Source organism: Homo sapiens, chromosome 5 (genome assembly GCF_000001405.40).
Source record: "Homo sapiens chromosome 5, GRCh38.p14 Primary Assembly".
NCBI classification, from domain to species: Eukaryota; Metazoa; Chordata; class Mammalia; order Primates; family Hominidae; genus Homo; species Homo sapiens.
The window spans coordinates 142,273,969-142,288,369 of record NC_000005.10 but is presented as its reverse complement, the minus strand read 5'-3'; the positions used below and the strand labels follow the sequence as shown (position 1 = coordinate 142,288,369).

General features: G+C 46.5%; 2 annotated features.

Moving 5' to 3' along the window:
* Positions 7,764-8,330: an enhancer, noted in NCBI's record as "H3K27ac-H3K4me1 hESC enhancer chr5:141659605-141660171 (GRCh37/hg19 assembly coordinates)". NCBI's record gives its function as "activates a minimal SCP1, AML or CMV promoter by ChIP-STARR-seq in naive H9 embryonic stem cells {active_cell/tissue: H9 hESC(naive)}" and the evidence as "EXISTENCE:reporter gene assay evidence [ECO:0000049][PMID:30033119]".
* Positions 8,331-8,897: an enhancer, noted in NCBI's record as "H3K27ac-H3K4me1 hESC enhancer chr5:141659038-141659604 (GRCh37/hg19 assembly coordinates)". NCBI's record gives its function as "activates a minimal SCP1, AML or CMV promoter by ChIP-STARR-seq in naive H9 embryonic stem cells {active_cell/tissue: H9 hESC(naive)}" and the evidence as "EXISTENCE:reporter gene assay evidence [ECO:0000049][PMID:30033119]".

The window sequence follows — 14,401 nt, the reverse complement described above, 5'->3', positions numbered from 1 at the left end:
AATTAGCCATGTGTGGTGGTGCATGCTTGTAATCCCACCTACTCAGGAGCTGAGGCAGGAGAATCACTTGAACCCAGGAGGCGGAGGTTGCAGTGAGCCAAGATCGTGCCACGCACTCCAGCCTCGGCGACAGAGCAAGACCCTGTCTCAGAAGAAAAGAAAAGAAAAGAAAACCTATTCACTGGAGTTCTGTAATAATTAATGAAAGGCATTTCTCTTTCATTTTCATTTCTCTTTCATTTCTAAAAATCAAAGCACTGTGTGTGTATGATGAGTGGCTTCTCATGAATATTGCTGCATTGCCACTGGACTGACTGTGTGTGTGGCTTGTTTTTTGTTTTTTTGTTTGTTTGTTTGTTTGTTTTGTTTTGTTTTTGGCCTCTTGTCTGCCCCTCTGTGGTAAACTCCACAGGGAACCTATCATACTGAGGCCTCCACTCTCGGTCTGTCTTGCTGCAGAAATGTTCTGGATACCACAACGGCCAGCCACAGCCGAGGGGCCAGCCTGCTGGGCCTTCCCCACCACCCGCCAGCCTTTTCCTGTGTCTGGTGTGAACTCTTGTTTCCGAGGCAGCTGCAGCCCTGCACAATTCCACGATTTGCCTCCTTCCCATGTAACCCATTTCAGGATTAGCCAGCCAGGAGGTCATAAAATGCAAAAAGGAAGTGGGAGCATCCCACAATTGTAGGAACCTGGACTCTAAGGGAAGTAACCTGTCTGTAGGTCTGTCTGCCTTTGGGGAAATGGGCCATAAATTGTAGCCTTAAGGGCTGGTGAAAGGATATGAGCTATTTATAAAAAGTCTTGGGCTTTTGAATTGCCTCTTTAAAGAGGCAATAGTTTTCTCTTGGGTAATTGGGGCTTGGTATCAAGGGCTCAAATGTTTCAGCAAACAAAGCCCCCAGGGCACAGCTGGGGAGAGTGAGGCTGAGGAGTGTTTGCAGGAAAGGATAGGAGCCACAGAGAAGGGCCTGGCCATGGGTCGGACAGTTCTGCTGTACATTCACAGGCTCCACTGTGTACCAGGCCCGGCTGGTCACTGAGCACATATAGATTAACTTATGCCTAAAGATTGTTCTCTTCCTTCAAAAACTAGCAGGTGGGCCGGGCGCGGTGGCTCACGCCTGTAATCCCAGAACTTTGGGAGGCTGAGGCGGGCAGATCACAAGGTCAGGAGTTTGAGACCAGCCTGACCAACATGGGGGAAACCCTGTCTCTACTAAAAATACAAAAGTTAGCCAGGCGTGGCGGCCCGCGTCTGTAATCCCAGCTACTTGGGAGGCTGAGGCAGGATAATCACTTGAACCCGGGAGGCAGAGGTTGCAGTGAGCTGAGATTGCACCACTGCACTCCAGCCTGGGCGACAGAGCGAGACTCCGTCTCAAAAAAAAAAAAAAAAATCTAGCAGATGGGCTGGGCACAGTGGCTCATGTCTGTAATCCCAGCACTTTGGGAAACCGAGGCCAGAGGATCACTTGAGGCCAGGAGTTCAAGACTAGCCTAGGCAAAACCCCATCTCTCAAAAAAAAAAAAAAAAAAAAATTAGCCGGACATGGTGATGCATGCCTGTGGTCCCAGCTACTAGAGAGGCTGAGGCAGGAGGATCACTTGAGCCCAGAGTTCGAGGCTGTAGTAAAGTACGATTGTATCACTGTACTCCAGCCTGGGCGATAGAGTCCTGTCTCAAAAACAAACAAACAAAAAAAGAAACCAAAAAATCAAACAAAAAACAAAAACAACTAGAAAGAGCAGATATGTGAGCCATGCAAATGTTCCTGGAGGTTTGCAGAAAATGCTGTGACTTCGCACATGTTGTTTCTTCCACCTTGAACACTCCTCCTTAGTCCCTTCTTTTTTTTTTGTTTTTTTTTTTTTTGAGACGGAGTGTCACTCTTGTGGCCCAGCTGGAGTGCAATGGCACGATCTCGGCTCACTGCAACCATCGCCTCCTGGATTCAAGTGATTCTCCTGCCTCAGCCTCCTGAGTAGCTGGAATTACACGCGCCTGACACCACACCCAGCTAATTGCTTGAACCGGGGAGGCGAAGGTTGTGGTGAGCTGAGATTGCGCCATTGCACTCCAGCCTGGGTAACGACAGCGAGATTCCATCTCAAAAAACAACAACAACAACAATAAAACACTACAAGTCCACCAATGGGTTATTAATTAAACAAATTGTGATAGAACACAGTGGAGTATTATGCAGCCATAGAGATTTTGTTCCAATATGGAACAATCTCCAAGAAAAATAAGCGTTAATTGGTGAGTATGGCATGCTCCCACTTCTGTAATTATACATGAGTTTGTTTGACTGTGGGGAGACTATTTCTGGAAAGATACACAAGGAATTCCAACATCACTGGCCTCTGGGGAAGGGATGTGTGGAGACTTTTCATGCTCTACCCTTTTGTGTTTTTAAATTTTGTATCATATGCAAGTAATACCTATTCAAAAAAAGAGATAAAGCTTGAAATTTATTTGTAAATTAAAAAAAAAATCCGTCAGATCTAGCTTATAAATACAGCAGGAAAGAAAGAAAAATTCAGTGCTCAGTTCTTGTGTTTCAGTTTATAGTCCCCCAGCACCCTGTACCGCTGCCTTGCACTTATTATACTTGGGGAGATTAATTAGTGAGTCTGAAGTATTTGCTATTACTCATGTTCCCCATAAAGTGTAAACTCCTTGAAGTTATGAAGAGTATCTCTCATATACTTTGCTGTATCTCTGGTGCCTGCTAAACAACAACAACAATAAAACAAAACAAAAACCCTTTTAAAATGATGTTGACCTCTGACAGCTTAAATTCATCCTCTTCCAGGGAGCCTTGCTTGATTGCTCACAAAACATCTCCTAATTTTTTTTTCTTTTTTTTGAGACAGAGTCTTGCCCTGTTGCCCAGGCTGCAGTGCAGTGGTGCAATCTTGGCTCACTGCAACCTCCACCTCCCAGGCTCAAGCAATTCTCATGCCTCAGCCTCCTGAATAGCTGGGATCACAGGCACCTGATACCATGCCTGGCTAATTTTTTTTTTTTTTAGTAGAGACGGAGTTTCACTATGTTGGCCAAGCTGGTCTGGAACTCCTATCCTCAAATGATTCACCGGCCTCAGCCTCCCAAAGTGCTGCAATTACAGATGTGAGCCATTGTGCCCGGCCAAATATCTCCTAATTTTTAATGTCTGCCTGGTTTTCTTTCTTTGATTTATTCAACCAATATTTCTGAGTGCCTACTAAGTGTCAGACACCTCACAGTTCTATTTTGCCATACAGTCTTTTGCTCATATTTCTTTCCTCCTCCATTTGATCACTGCAAGGTGCAGGATTTGTATCTTATCCTTAGATCTCCTCATAGAACTTTTTAAACTTAATTAAGTTACTATTATTTTTAATTTAAATAAATTATGTATTCATTTATTTTTAATAAACAGCTTGCTCTGTTGCCCAAGCTGGTCTCAAACTCCTGGGCTCAAGCTATCCTCCTGCCTGGGCCTCCCAATGTGCTGGGATTACAGGCATGAGCCACTGCGCCTGGTCTCCTCATACAACCTTGAACATTACCTCGCACATAGTACATGCCAAGTATGTTTTTGTCACATAAGTGAGGGGATTATTTCCAATTTATGTTCTAACCAAATGAGTTAATACAAATAAATAACATGGGTGCAAACACTGATTTCCTGTTTTGCCCTCACAGCAAGCCATTGAGATCAGCACATTTTTGCAGATGAGGACACAGGCTAGAGCATTCGGTGACTTGATCAGGTCACACAACTACTAAGAGGTGGAGCCCGGACTCTAGCCCAGGCTGGCCTACCTCTGGGAACCCTCAGAATGTGGGAGAAGCACCATGTTACCTCCTGTCCAGGCTCCAGGCTACATTTCTGAGAAGGCCTTGAGGGTAACACAATGGGAAATGGCTCCTCTGGTCTCACAGGTAACATTCTGGGACCTCCTCCTGCGGCTAGGCAGTGGCAGGGTAGATTTTTTAAGGGATTGCTTTAATGACAATGGCATTTTATGCCAGTGGTTCGGTCTGGGAACAAGCAAAGAGCACCTACAGCTGCACCACAAAGGAAGATGTCATAGGTGGGCGGCCAATACCTGGGGAAGGGGGCAGTGTTCCCACCAAAGAGGTAGAGGGGTGGTGGGGAAGCAGAGCAGCGGCACAGAGCAAGGGGGAGTGACAGCTTGGAATGAATAGGGCTCTCTGAGCCTTGTGAAGGCCAGGCCAAGGACTCCATCATTTAGGTGATAATACCACCAAATAATCCAGCCCAGAACCCAGTTCTGGCCTGGGTAGAGAAAAGGTAGGGGTGGACAGGGCTGCTAGTCAGGGCAGCCAGGTCCCTGTGAGTTTGGAAGTCTGGTCAGGAGCAGCACCACAGAGGGTCGCAGGGGTGAATGGCACAGAGGAATACAGCGAGACTGCAGGACTTGGCGGCTAGACCCATGGAACACAGCTAAATCTCGCGCCCCAATAATAAAATGAAAAATTATTAGAAAAGAAAAGCCGGCAAGTGCAATAATCTACCAGGAGCAAGCAGAAAGCCTCCATGTGCAGGTACAACATATGCTTGCTGGCGAACGCAGGCATCTGCTACAAGCATGATCGTTTGACTCTCTGTGCCAGGCATCGTGTGAGACAGTTTGCCTTTTTCATCCCATGTCATCCAACAGCCCCGGCAAACAAGGTGCTCTCACCATTTATAGATGAGGAAACAGGCTGTGGCCCAAGTCTCATGGCTGGGAAGTGGTGGAGCAGGTGTTCAAACACAGCTCCATCTCACCTCAAAACACAGGCCTTGGATCCCCAAGTTCTACAAGGCACTTCCTGCCAGATGCACGCTCAGCACTTAACATGCACGATCTTGTCTAATCCTTGCAGCCACCCAATACCTAGTGTTACAAATCAGGGCCAGGACCAAGGTGAGATGAGTGTGTTGGGATTACAGGTGTGAGCCACTGTGCCCGGCCTACGTGCCTTTATCTTAAGACAGGATCATTATTACTGATTTTTTCTTTTGCTTCAGGCTCCGGGCTGGCTTGGTATGAGTTTCCTTTATTTAAATGTTTGATGCTTTGTTCATCGCAGATTTTTTTGCATTGATTTTGACTCTCTAAAAATATTGCATTTAAGTATTATTCATCTTGATGACTGAGGTTTTAGGGAGTATCCCTTAAATTTTATACTCACAGCACCTGTCTTGCTCACCTTCCCTGGTCCTAGCCCTGAATTTGCCCGCTTTTCAGATGAGGAAACTGATATGTGGGCAAGGGGGAGGTTGCGTTATTTGCCTTGATTACAGGGCTGGTAAGTGCTAGAGCAGAAATGAGAACTCAGACAGTCCAGAGCCCATTGTCTTAAAATAAAACTAAACCTTAATTCCATGTTGAGTTTTCAGGGATCTGTGTCTTGTGGTCAGGGCATTTCTATCTCGGTTTGTCCTGTGGTTTCCGGGCATCACATTCACCCTCTTTGCTCCCATCTGGTGCTTCCTCACCCCCAGGACCCTGAGCCCTATCTGACTTTCCAAACTATCCTCCACCCACCCGCCTCCCTGGAACTCTTCCTTTCTGGTGCCACTACGCCTGGCTAATTTTTTTGTTTGTTTTTTTTTTGTTTTTTTGAGATGGAGTCTGGCTCTGTTGCCCAGGCTGGAGTGCAGTGGCACGATCTCAGCTCACTGCAACCTCCGCCTCCCGGGTTCAAGTGATTCTCCTGCCTCAGCCTCCTGAGTAGCTGGGATTACAGGTGCATGCCACCATGCCTGGCTGAATTTTTGTATTTTTAGTAGAGATGGGGTTTCACCATGTTAGCTAGGATGGTCTTGATTTCTTGACCTCGTGATCCGCTCGCCTTGGCCTCCCAAAGTGCTGGGATTACAAGCATGAGCCACCGCGCCCAGTCAACTTTTTTGTATTTTTAGTAGAGATGGGGTTTCGCTTTCTTGGCCCGGCTTGTCTCAAACTCCTGGCTTGTCTCAAACTCCTGGCTTCAAGTGATCTGCCCAGCCTCTCAAAGTGCTGGGTTTACAGGCATGAGCCACCATGCCGGCCAACTTTTGATTCTCACAAACCAGATGTGGTTTCTCCATCCTCTGTAGGAAAGGCCTTCTGTGTGCACATTCTCTGTGAAAGGTTCTCTACCCTCTCCTGCATAGGCCGTTTCTGGACTCGTCTTACTCGTCTTCCCAGACAAGTCAACTCCCTGGGGCCAGAACTGCAGGAGGAAGCAAGTTTAATCTTACTCATGTTTAAATGGCCTCAGTACCTGGCCTAATGCTTTATTCATCATAAACACTTAGAAAAGGGTTTAAAAAGAAATTCAGCGTTAGTGATGATCAGCACGCAGGCTCTGCATCCAGACTGACTTTGTTCAAATCCCAGTACTGCCACTTATTAGCTATCTGACTTTAGGCAAATTACTCAACCTGTCTGTTTCCTCAACTACAAAATGGATATAATACTCAACAACTTAATGCAAGTTTCTGGTACACCGGACTCACAGAACACACTCACCAAATGTTAGCTATAATTATTATTAGGAAAATTAATGTGCTAGCCATTTACAGGATGGATTAGAGAGGCAGAGTACAGGTCAGAGATTAGCCAGGAAGGCCCTGAGCTAGAGTGGGGTAAAGAGGACAGAAAAAGTCAGGAAGGATACAAAGAAGACAGGGAGGTCAGGGTGAGCTGAAGGCATTGTTTGCGGGGATGGGTGGGTGTGGGGGTGTGTGTGTGTGTGTGCAGGCTCAGATCGCTGGCTCCTGGGACCTGTTGACACCATTTCTGCATCAGAGAAACCATGGGCCAACTTGTCCTGACCAAATGCTGATGGAGCCTAAGACCCACAACATGGTGCAGCCAAAGGGAAGCTGCGAACAGATAGATTCCAAACTGCAAAAGGAAAAGCAAAGAGCGAATCCTTAGGGCGACAAGTCAGCAAACCTTCCTGTCCCTCAGACAAAATTGTTGGTGGGAATTTGCTGCACGTCCTCTTCTGGCCCCAGAGGTGCTGAGTTTTTTATGGAGGGAGGTGGGAGTAGGGGTCCTTGGCAAACCAGCTGGAGAGCAGCGCACCCCCCTCGCATGCAGGGGCATTTGGTCAAGTGGCTGGAAGGAAGGGCCATGGGAAGGCCATAAAGGGCAGCCTGACCCAGGGCCTCTGGTCATGCCGTGCCAGAAGGGCCAGGATCAGGGTTGAGCAGAGGACTTTCCCTGGCAGGACGCCAGGCAAGAGGGTTACTTTTCTCATTTTCTTCCCATCTCTCCCTGCTCCGTTGGCCCCTCTGGCACACTGAGCTTCAAGCTCCTTCCTCTCCACAAACCGAGGGGTTTTAATGTTGGATGAAAATAAATCTGCCTACCGTCGAAGACTCTGGAAATAAAAAGAATTCTCTCCTCAGAGTGACAGGTTGACTCGAGGGGGGCCAAAAAGCCACCTCCATTTGGTGCCTGAAATTCCTGCCGCCTGGGGTCTGACCCTGGAGGTGTCATTATCACCTAGTAGCATCGTTAATGTCTGGGGAGGGGCCCTCTGGAGGCCTGGCTGGGAAGGCTGAGGCCCCAGGGAGGCACAAGGAAAGGGCTCCAGACCAAATCTCCCTGGGGACTCGCTAAGAAAGGAAGGAGGCCTTAGACGAAAGGGGACTCAGAGGAGTTGAGAGACAAATACAGCCTATTTCACAGATTCCTGAGCACATCCTGTCTCCCGGAGAACCAGGATGTGGCGCTTCCTCAGGTCTCTTTGTACCAGTATTGGCTTCTGGGCCAAGAATGTCCCAGCTAAATCCTGAAAAATCACACGGCTCACCATAAACCACCCTCCTCCCTTTCTCAGTACCCTGGCCCCAGACTTCTGGGGAAAACAAAACACAACCCAGAGAGTTTCACTGCAGTCCCCAGGGGCTGGGAATGGAAGCAGCAGTGGGAGCTGAGCTCTTCAAAGCCAGTCATGACATCAGAACCGCTGACATCTCTACTCCCACCAAACTGGTTCAGTGCTTCTGAGAGGGCCTCAGGCTGGCCCTGCTTGGAGGAAAGCTCCAATTAGAGGGTGCGTTCCAGATAGCCCGTGGGAAGGCCGGCTGGGCAGGCTCACAGTGGTCAGTGCTGCCATCAATCACTCAGCAGGCGGTGTGTTTGGCAACGCTGGCCTTTGCTTTGTGGCTGACTAGTGACTAGCCGTGTGACCCTAGGCAAGTGACTTCATCTCTCTGGGTCTCAATTTCCTCTGCTATGAAATGGAGCTGATAATGGATGCTACTGCCTAAGATCTCTGAGAATTAAATGCTTGCCAACTTTAGGATAGAGACCCAAATACCCAACCCACCTGGGAAGCCCTGCAGGCCCTGGCCCTGCCTGCCTGCCCGTCACTGCGGGCTGCTCTCCCTCCTGCTTGCCCCTCCAGCTGCTTGGGCCTATCTCAGGTCCTCAGCACTCAGCCATTCCACTCGGCCCCCAGAATATGAGCTTCCTGGGAAATCTCTTCCCCTCAGTAACTCCTGCCTAGACCCCTGCCCCTCTTTGAATCAGGCCCCTGCTCTAACCTCTTGGAATACCCTCTTTTCCCCTCCACAGCTCTTGGGCATGGTCCATCTTTGGACATTGGTTTAGGTAATTTTGTGTTCAGGGTTAGCTCCTCTGGCTACACTGTGAGCTCCTGGAAGACAGAGGCTCTTGTCTTATTCACTGTGTAGCCTCAGTGCCCAGTATATAGCTGGTGCTCAATAAATCTTGGCTCAATGAAAAAAAATAAAATGAGATGGTGCAGGCAAAATACCAGGCACAGCTCAGTACCATTCACAGCCACAGCCGCTTTGGCTGCTGGTGTGAGGCTGCTGATCCAAGACCCTCCAGGGGAGAAGATGATAGAGACAGGCTGCTCCCTGCAAGCTGAAAAAGATGAGCCAGGAAGACAAGGTTGACATCAACAGGGAATAGTCAGGGGCAATATTGAATTAAATATTCCACTGCAGGGTGTAATTGCTTCAGAAGCTCAGAGAAAAAGGAGCTAATGAGTGCAGAGAAAAAGTATATCAGAAAAAATAGAACTAAAGCCAAAAGAAAAGTGGCATTGGACTAGCAAAGGAGAGTGGGGTAGAATTCAGGTAGGAGGAAAATCATCCTTCAACTAGCTACCATTTACCGTTAGTACTAGCAGTACTTATCATCAGAGTCGTCATTGAGCCAATATTCAATTCCGCATTTACAATGGGGCCAGGTATTTTACCAAGCCTTTTTTAGAACTATTTTGTTTGACCTTTGAAACATCCCTAAGAAAGTTCTTTCATTATCACTATTTTAGAGGTAAGGAAGTGAAGGCTCAGAAAGTGTTCTGTAATTTTCCCAAGAGCATATCACTAGTAAGCAGGAAATCTGAGATTCACACATAGACCACTTCCAGACTGAGGGGCCAGGTGAAAGCTGGGACAGCCAGGCAGCAGCACTTACAATGAATGGGACAGCAAGCCTGGAACCATATGGCAGTGAAGCTGGAATGAGGATGATGCAATGAATGCTGGCTTAGGGGTGGCATGGCTGGTCCATTCTAGTACAGAATGGGTGGGAAGGGGCAGGGACAAGGAGCAGTATTTCAGAGTTGACAGTCTGAGCCCATGGGCTGGGGTGGCCATGCGGGCCATGAAGTGAAAGAGATGGATGGATGCAGGGGATATTTTATTTCTTTCTTTTTCCCTTTTTTTTTTTTTTTATTTGAGACACAGTGTCACTCTGTTGCCCAGGCTGGAGTGCAGTGGCATGATCTAGGCTCACTGCAACCTCCTCCTCCAGGGTTCAAGCAATTCTCCTGCCTCAGCCTCCCAGTAGCTGGAATTACAGGTACATGCTGCCACGCCCAGCCAATTTTTGTATTTTTAGTAGAGACGGGGTTTCACCATGTTGGCCAGGCTGGTCTTTCAAGATCTGCCTGACCTCAAGTGATCCACCCGTATCAGCCTCCCAAAGTGCTGGGATTGCAGGCATGAGCCACTATGCCCGGCCTGCAGGGGATATTTTAAGGAAGAAATAGAGCCAGAGACCTGACTGGCTGTATGTGGGAGCAGGAGGGAGGATTTAAAGGCTATCATTTAAAGAGAACTCTGGAGTTTTAAGTCAAAGCATAATGTGAGTTCATCCCCCATCCTCTCAACAGTACTTGAGGAATTTCTTTTGACAGTCTTCCTCAGAACTTAGGAACCACCTGTTTTTCCCCACTCCCTAGTATTTTAAAGGTATCCTCCCCTGAGTCCAGTGGTGTACTGGTGCTGGCTCATAAGAGCCAACTGCACACATCTTGTCCCAACTCCATTGTTCAGCAACATCATGTTGGTTGTTTGAAATCAGCCATGGAGGGGTGGAAATCCGCAAATGCCGCGGATCAGTGCTTTTATTTTCCTGTAGAGCTGGTTGTTAAACATTTACCAGCACATGTCTGCCTGGATCCAACTTAAATTTCTCCCACTGCACATCAGGAATTTTTCCCTTCCTGCTGTGAATGAAGAACAAAGAGGGAGGATGAATAGATTCAAGAAAGGTTGCAATGGAGTCCCCTGTCAGGAAGCTCACCTCTTGAGCTAAAGTTAGTTACAATAACTACCATTCCCTAAAGACCAGCTTTGTGCCAGAATCTGAACTAGAACTCCACTTGTGTCATCTAATTCAATCATCTCATCAGTGATAGGGATGTATGAGGAGTAGGTCCTATGGTCAAACCCCTCTTACAGATGAAACTGAGGCTCAGAGAGGTTAAATCACTTGCCCAAGGTCACTCAGGCAGCAAATGACAGAGTTGGGGTTCAATCCAGGAAGGTCTGTCCCCAGATCCCTTGCACTTGACATGTAGGCAGTTTCTTTTCAGGAGACCTTTACAGCCTTCTACCCGGATCAGTCTTGACTAGTCCTCTTCTTAGCAGTACTGACCACCCACCTTGCCTAGTCAGTTGGGATCCTCACTAGGATCAGAAAACAACTCTGACTGGTTTAGCAGAAAAAGGATTTGTTTAGGGGTTACAAGGTAGCCCACAGAATTGCTAGAAAAGTAAAGAATTAAACTTGGAAAACAAGCAAGAATCAAGGGAAATGGACCCCAGTCCCCACCTGGTGAGGATACCAGTGTCATCACAACACCACTGGATGCTGGCACCAGCTTTGCTTCTGTTGACAGCTGCTCATGGCTGCCACTACCCAGGATGAATTCTCTTTTCCTGCTTCTCTGCATCACCAGTCCTAGGCCCTGAGTCCCAGTGGCAGCATCAATCACTTGGCCTCATCATAACCTCCAGAAGGGAAGGATGGGCTTCTATAGTGAGAAGTAGGTCCTTCCATCAGGATTCTTACAGTGGAGAGATCCCCAAGCATCTATGGGGGTTCAGTTGCCAGGGAGCTTCCAAGAGCTCTGTTGCTTGCACACACTGGTTTTCCCTAAACCCTTGGCCACTTACACATAGTCAGCTTGTTTGTGTTTCTTTGACCTGCTTGCAGACATTCAGAATATCACCCACGTACAGGTATGTGGCTCATGCCTGTAATCCCAGCACTTTGGGTGGCCCAGGTGGGAGGATCACTTGAGCCCAGGGGTTTGAAACCAGCCTGGGCAACATAGTGAGACCCCATCGCTACAAAAAAATTAAAAATTAGCTAGGTGTGGTGGCGCACAACTGCGATCCCAGCTATTCGGGAGGCTGAGGTGGGAGGATTTCTTGAGCTGAGACGTTTGAGGCTGCAGTGAGTTTTGATCAAGCCACTGCACTCCAGACTGGGCAACAGAGTGAGACCCTATGTCAAAAAAAAGAAATGTCACTCAGGACTTTTCTTATTCTGTTCTATATATATATATATATATATATATATATTATATATGTTATATATAATTTATATAATATATAATTTATATATAATTTATATATTCTATATATAAATTATATATAATATATATTATATATAATTTATATAATATATTATATATATTTATATAGAACAGAATAATATATATTATATATAATATATATTATATATAATTATATATAATATATAATATATATTATATATAATATATATATTATTTAATATAATATATAATATATATAATATATAATCTATTATATATTATATATATAATATATATCTATATCTATATATATATTATTTTATTTTATTTTTTTTCTTTGGAGACAGAGTTTTGCTCTTGTTGCCCAGCCTGGAGTGCAATGGCGCCATCTCGGCTCATCGCAACCTCCACCTCCTGGGTTCAAGCGATTCTCCTACCTCAGCCTCCCGAGTAGCTGGGATTACAGGCATGTGCCACCATGCCCGGCTAATTTTTGTATTTTTAGTAGATACAGGGTTTCTCCATATTGGTCAGGCTGGTCTCAAACTCCCAACCTCAGGTGATCTGCCTGCCTCGGCCTCCCAGAGTGTTGGGATTACAGGCGTGAGCCACCGCGGCCAGCTATATTTCTTTCTTCACCATGTTAGGATATATTCAGTTACAAATGTGTAAGACTCATAAACCACTGAGCAACATGTCTGCCCCAGCCAAGGACTTTATTTCTGCCCCAGCCAAGGACTGATCCTGATGCCACAGCCAGGTGCAGTTCCTCCCTGAGGTTTACATGGGGCAGTGCCAGCTGTTGGTAGCCAGTTAGGTTATCTGAGGTATCGTCTGCCTTCCCAGGAATCTCTGTGGGCTGAGTGCCCTCAGCTGTACTTCCAATCTAAAGGTGATGGAGTGAGTCATTAAGGTAGGTGTGGGACTGGGGCTACCGATACTAGCTTTGTTCAACAATGCTCCTCTGTTGAAAATTCTTTTTCATTTAGCGTGACTCACTCTATTTATTTATATTTATTTATTTTAATAGGGACCATTGCAATGGGGTCTTGCAGTGAGGGAGAAAGAGTGGACTCAATTCCCTCACTCTTTTTTTTCTTTCTTTTTTTTGTTTTTTTTGAGATGGAGTCTCTCTCTGTCACCCAGGCTGGAGTGCAGTGGCGAGATCTCAGCTCACTGCAACCTCCAACTCCCGGGTTCAGGTGATTCTCCTGCCTCAGCCTCCTGAGTAGCTGGGATTAAAGGCCTCCACCACCATGCCCGGCTAATTTTTGTATTATTAGTAGAGACAGCGTTTCACCATATTGGCCAGGCTGGTCTCGAACACCTGACTTCCAGTGATCTGCTAACCTCGGCCTCCCAAAGTGCTGGGATTACAGGCATGAGTGACTGTGCCCAGCCTCACTGTCTTTTTAGAAAGAGTGCCTGGTCTCCTTTGGGTCTCTGGGCCTTCGTGGCACAGGTTCCATAGCAAAATATTATAATAATGACAATAAACAGAGGGGAGAGAGAAAGGAAGACAAAACTTATAAAGATGAATGGCTCAAATGTATTAAAAATATAATCTGGCCAGGCGCGGTGGCTCATGCCTGTAATCTCAGCACTTTGGGAAGCCGAGGCGGGCAGATCACGAGGTCAGGAGATTGAGACCATCCTGGCTAACACAGTGAAACCCCATCTCTACTAAAAATACAAAAAATTAGCTGGGCGTTGTGGCAGGCACCTGTAGTCCCAGCTGCTCAGGAGGCTGAGGCAGGAGAATGGCATGAACCCAGGAGGCGGAGCTTGCAGTGGGCCGAGATTGCACCACTGCACTCCAGCCTGGGCAACAGAGAGAGACTCCGTATCAAAAATAAATAAATAAATAAATAAAATAATAATCTTCAGTCAACCTCAAAGTCACCCAAGCCAGGCCTGCATTTCAGGAGGTTGCAGATATTATATTATCCCAAGTACATCATTATCCTTAGAGCATCTTTGCCTCTAGATTGATTTGTTTAGAGAATGTGTGGCACAAAGTCCTCAGTGACATCTGGGCTATGTTTCCTAGAAAGGTTTTGTCGGAAACCTACCAACCTACCACATGCCCCCATCCTTTTAAAAATTAATAGACTTATTTATTGAGTTATTTACTGAGTTATTGAGTTGAGACAGGGTCTCACCTTGTTGCCCAGGCTGAAGTGCAGTGGTGTGATCACAGCTCACTGCAGCCTCAACCTCCCAGGCTCAAGTGATCCTCCCACCTCAGCCTCCCAGATAGCTGGGACTACGGGCGCATGCCACTATACCCAGCTAATTTTTCAAATTTGTGTAGAGGTGAGGTCTTACTATGTTGCCAGGGCTGGGACTTTATTTTTTACAGCAGTTTTGGATTTACAGAAAACTTAAGCAGAAAGTACAGAGTTTCCATATAAGCTTTTTTCTCTCTCTCACAGTTTCCTCCATTATTAACCTCTTGCATTAGTGCAGTGTATGTGTTACAATTGATGAGCCCATATTCATAAATTATTACTTACCAAAGTCCATAGTTTACATTAGGCTTCACTCTGTGTTGCACCTTCTATGACTTTTGA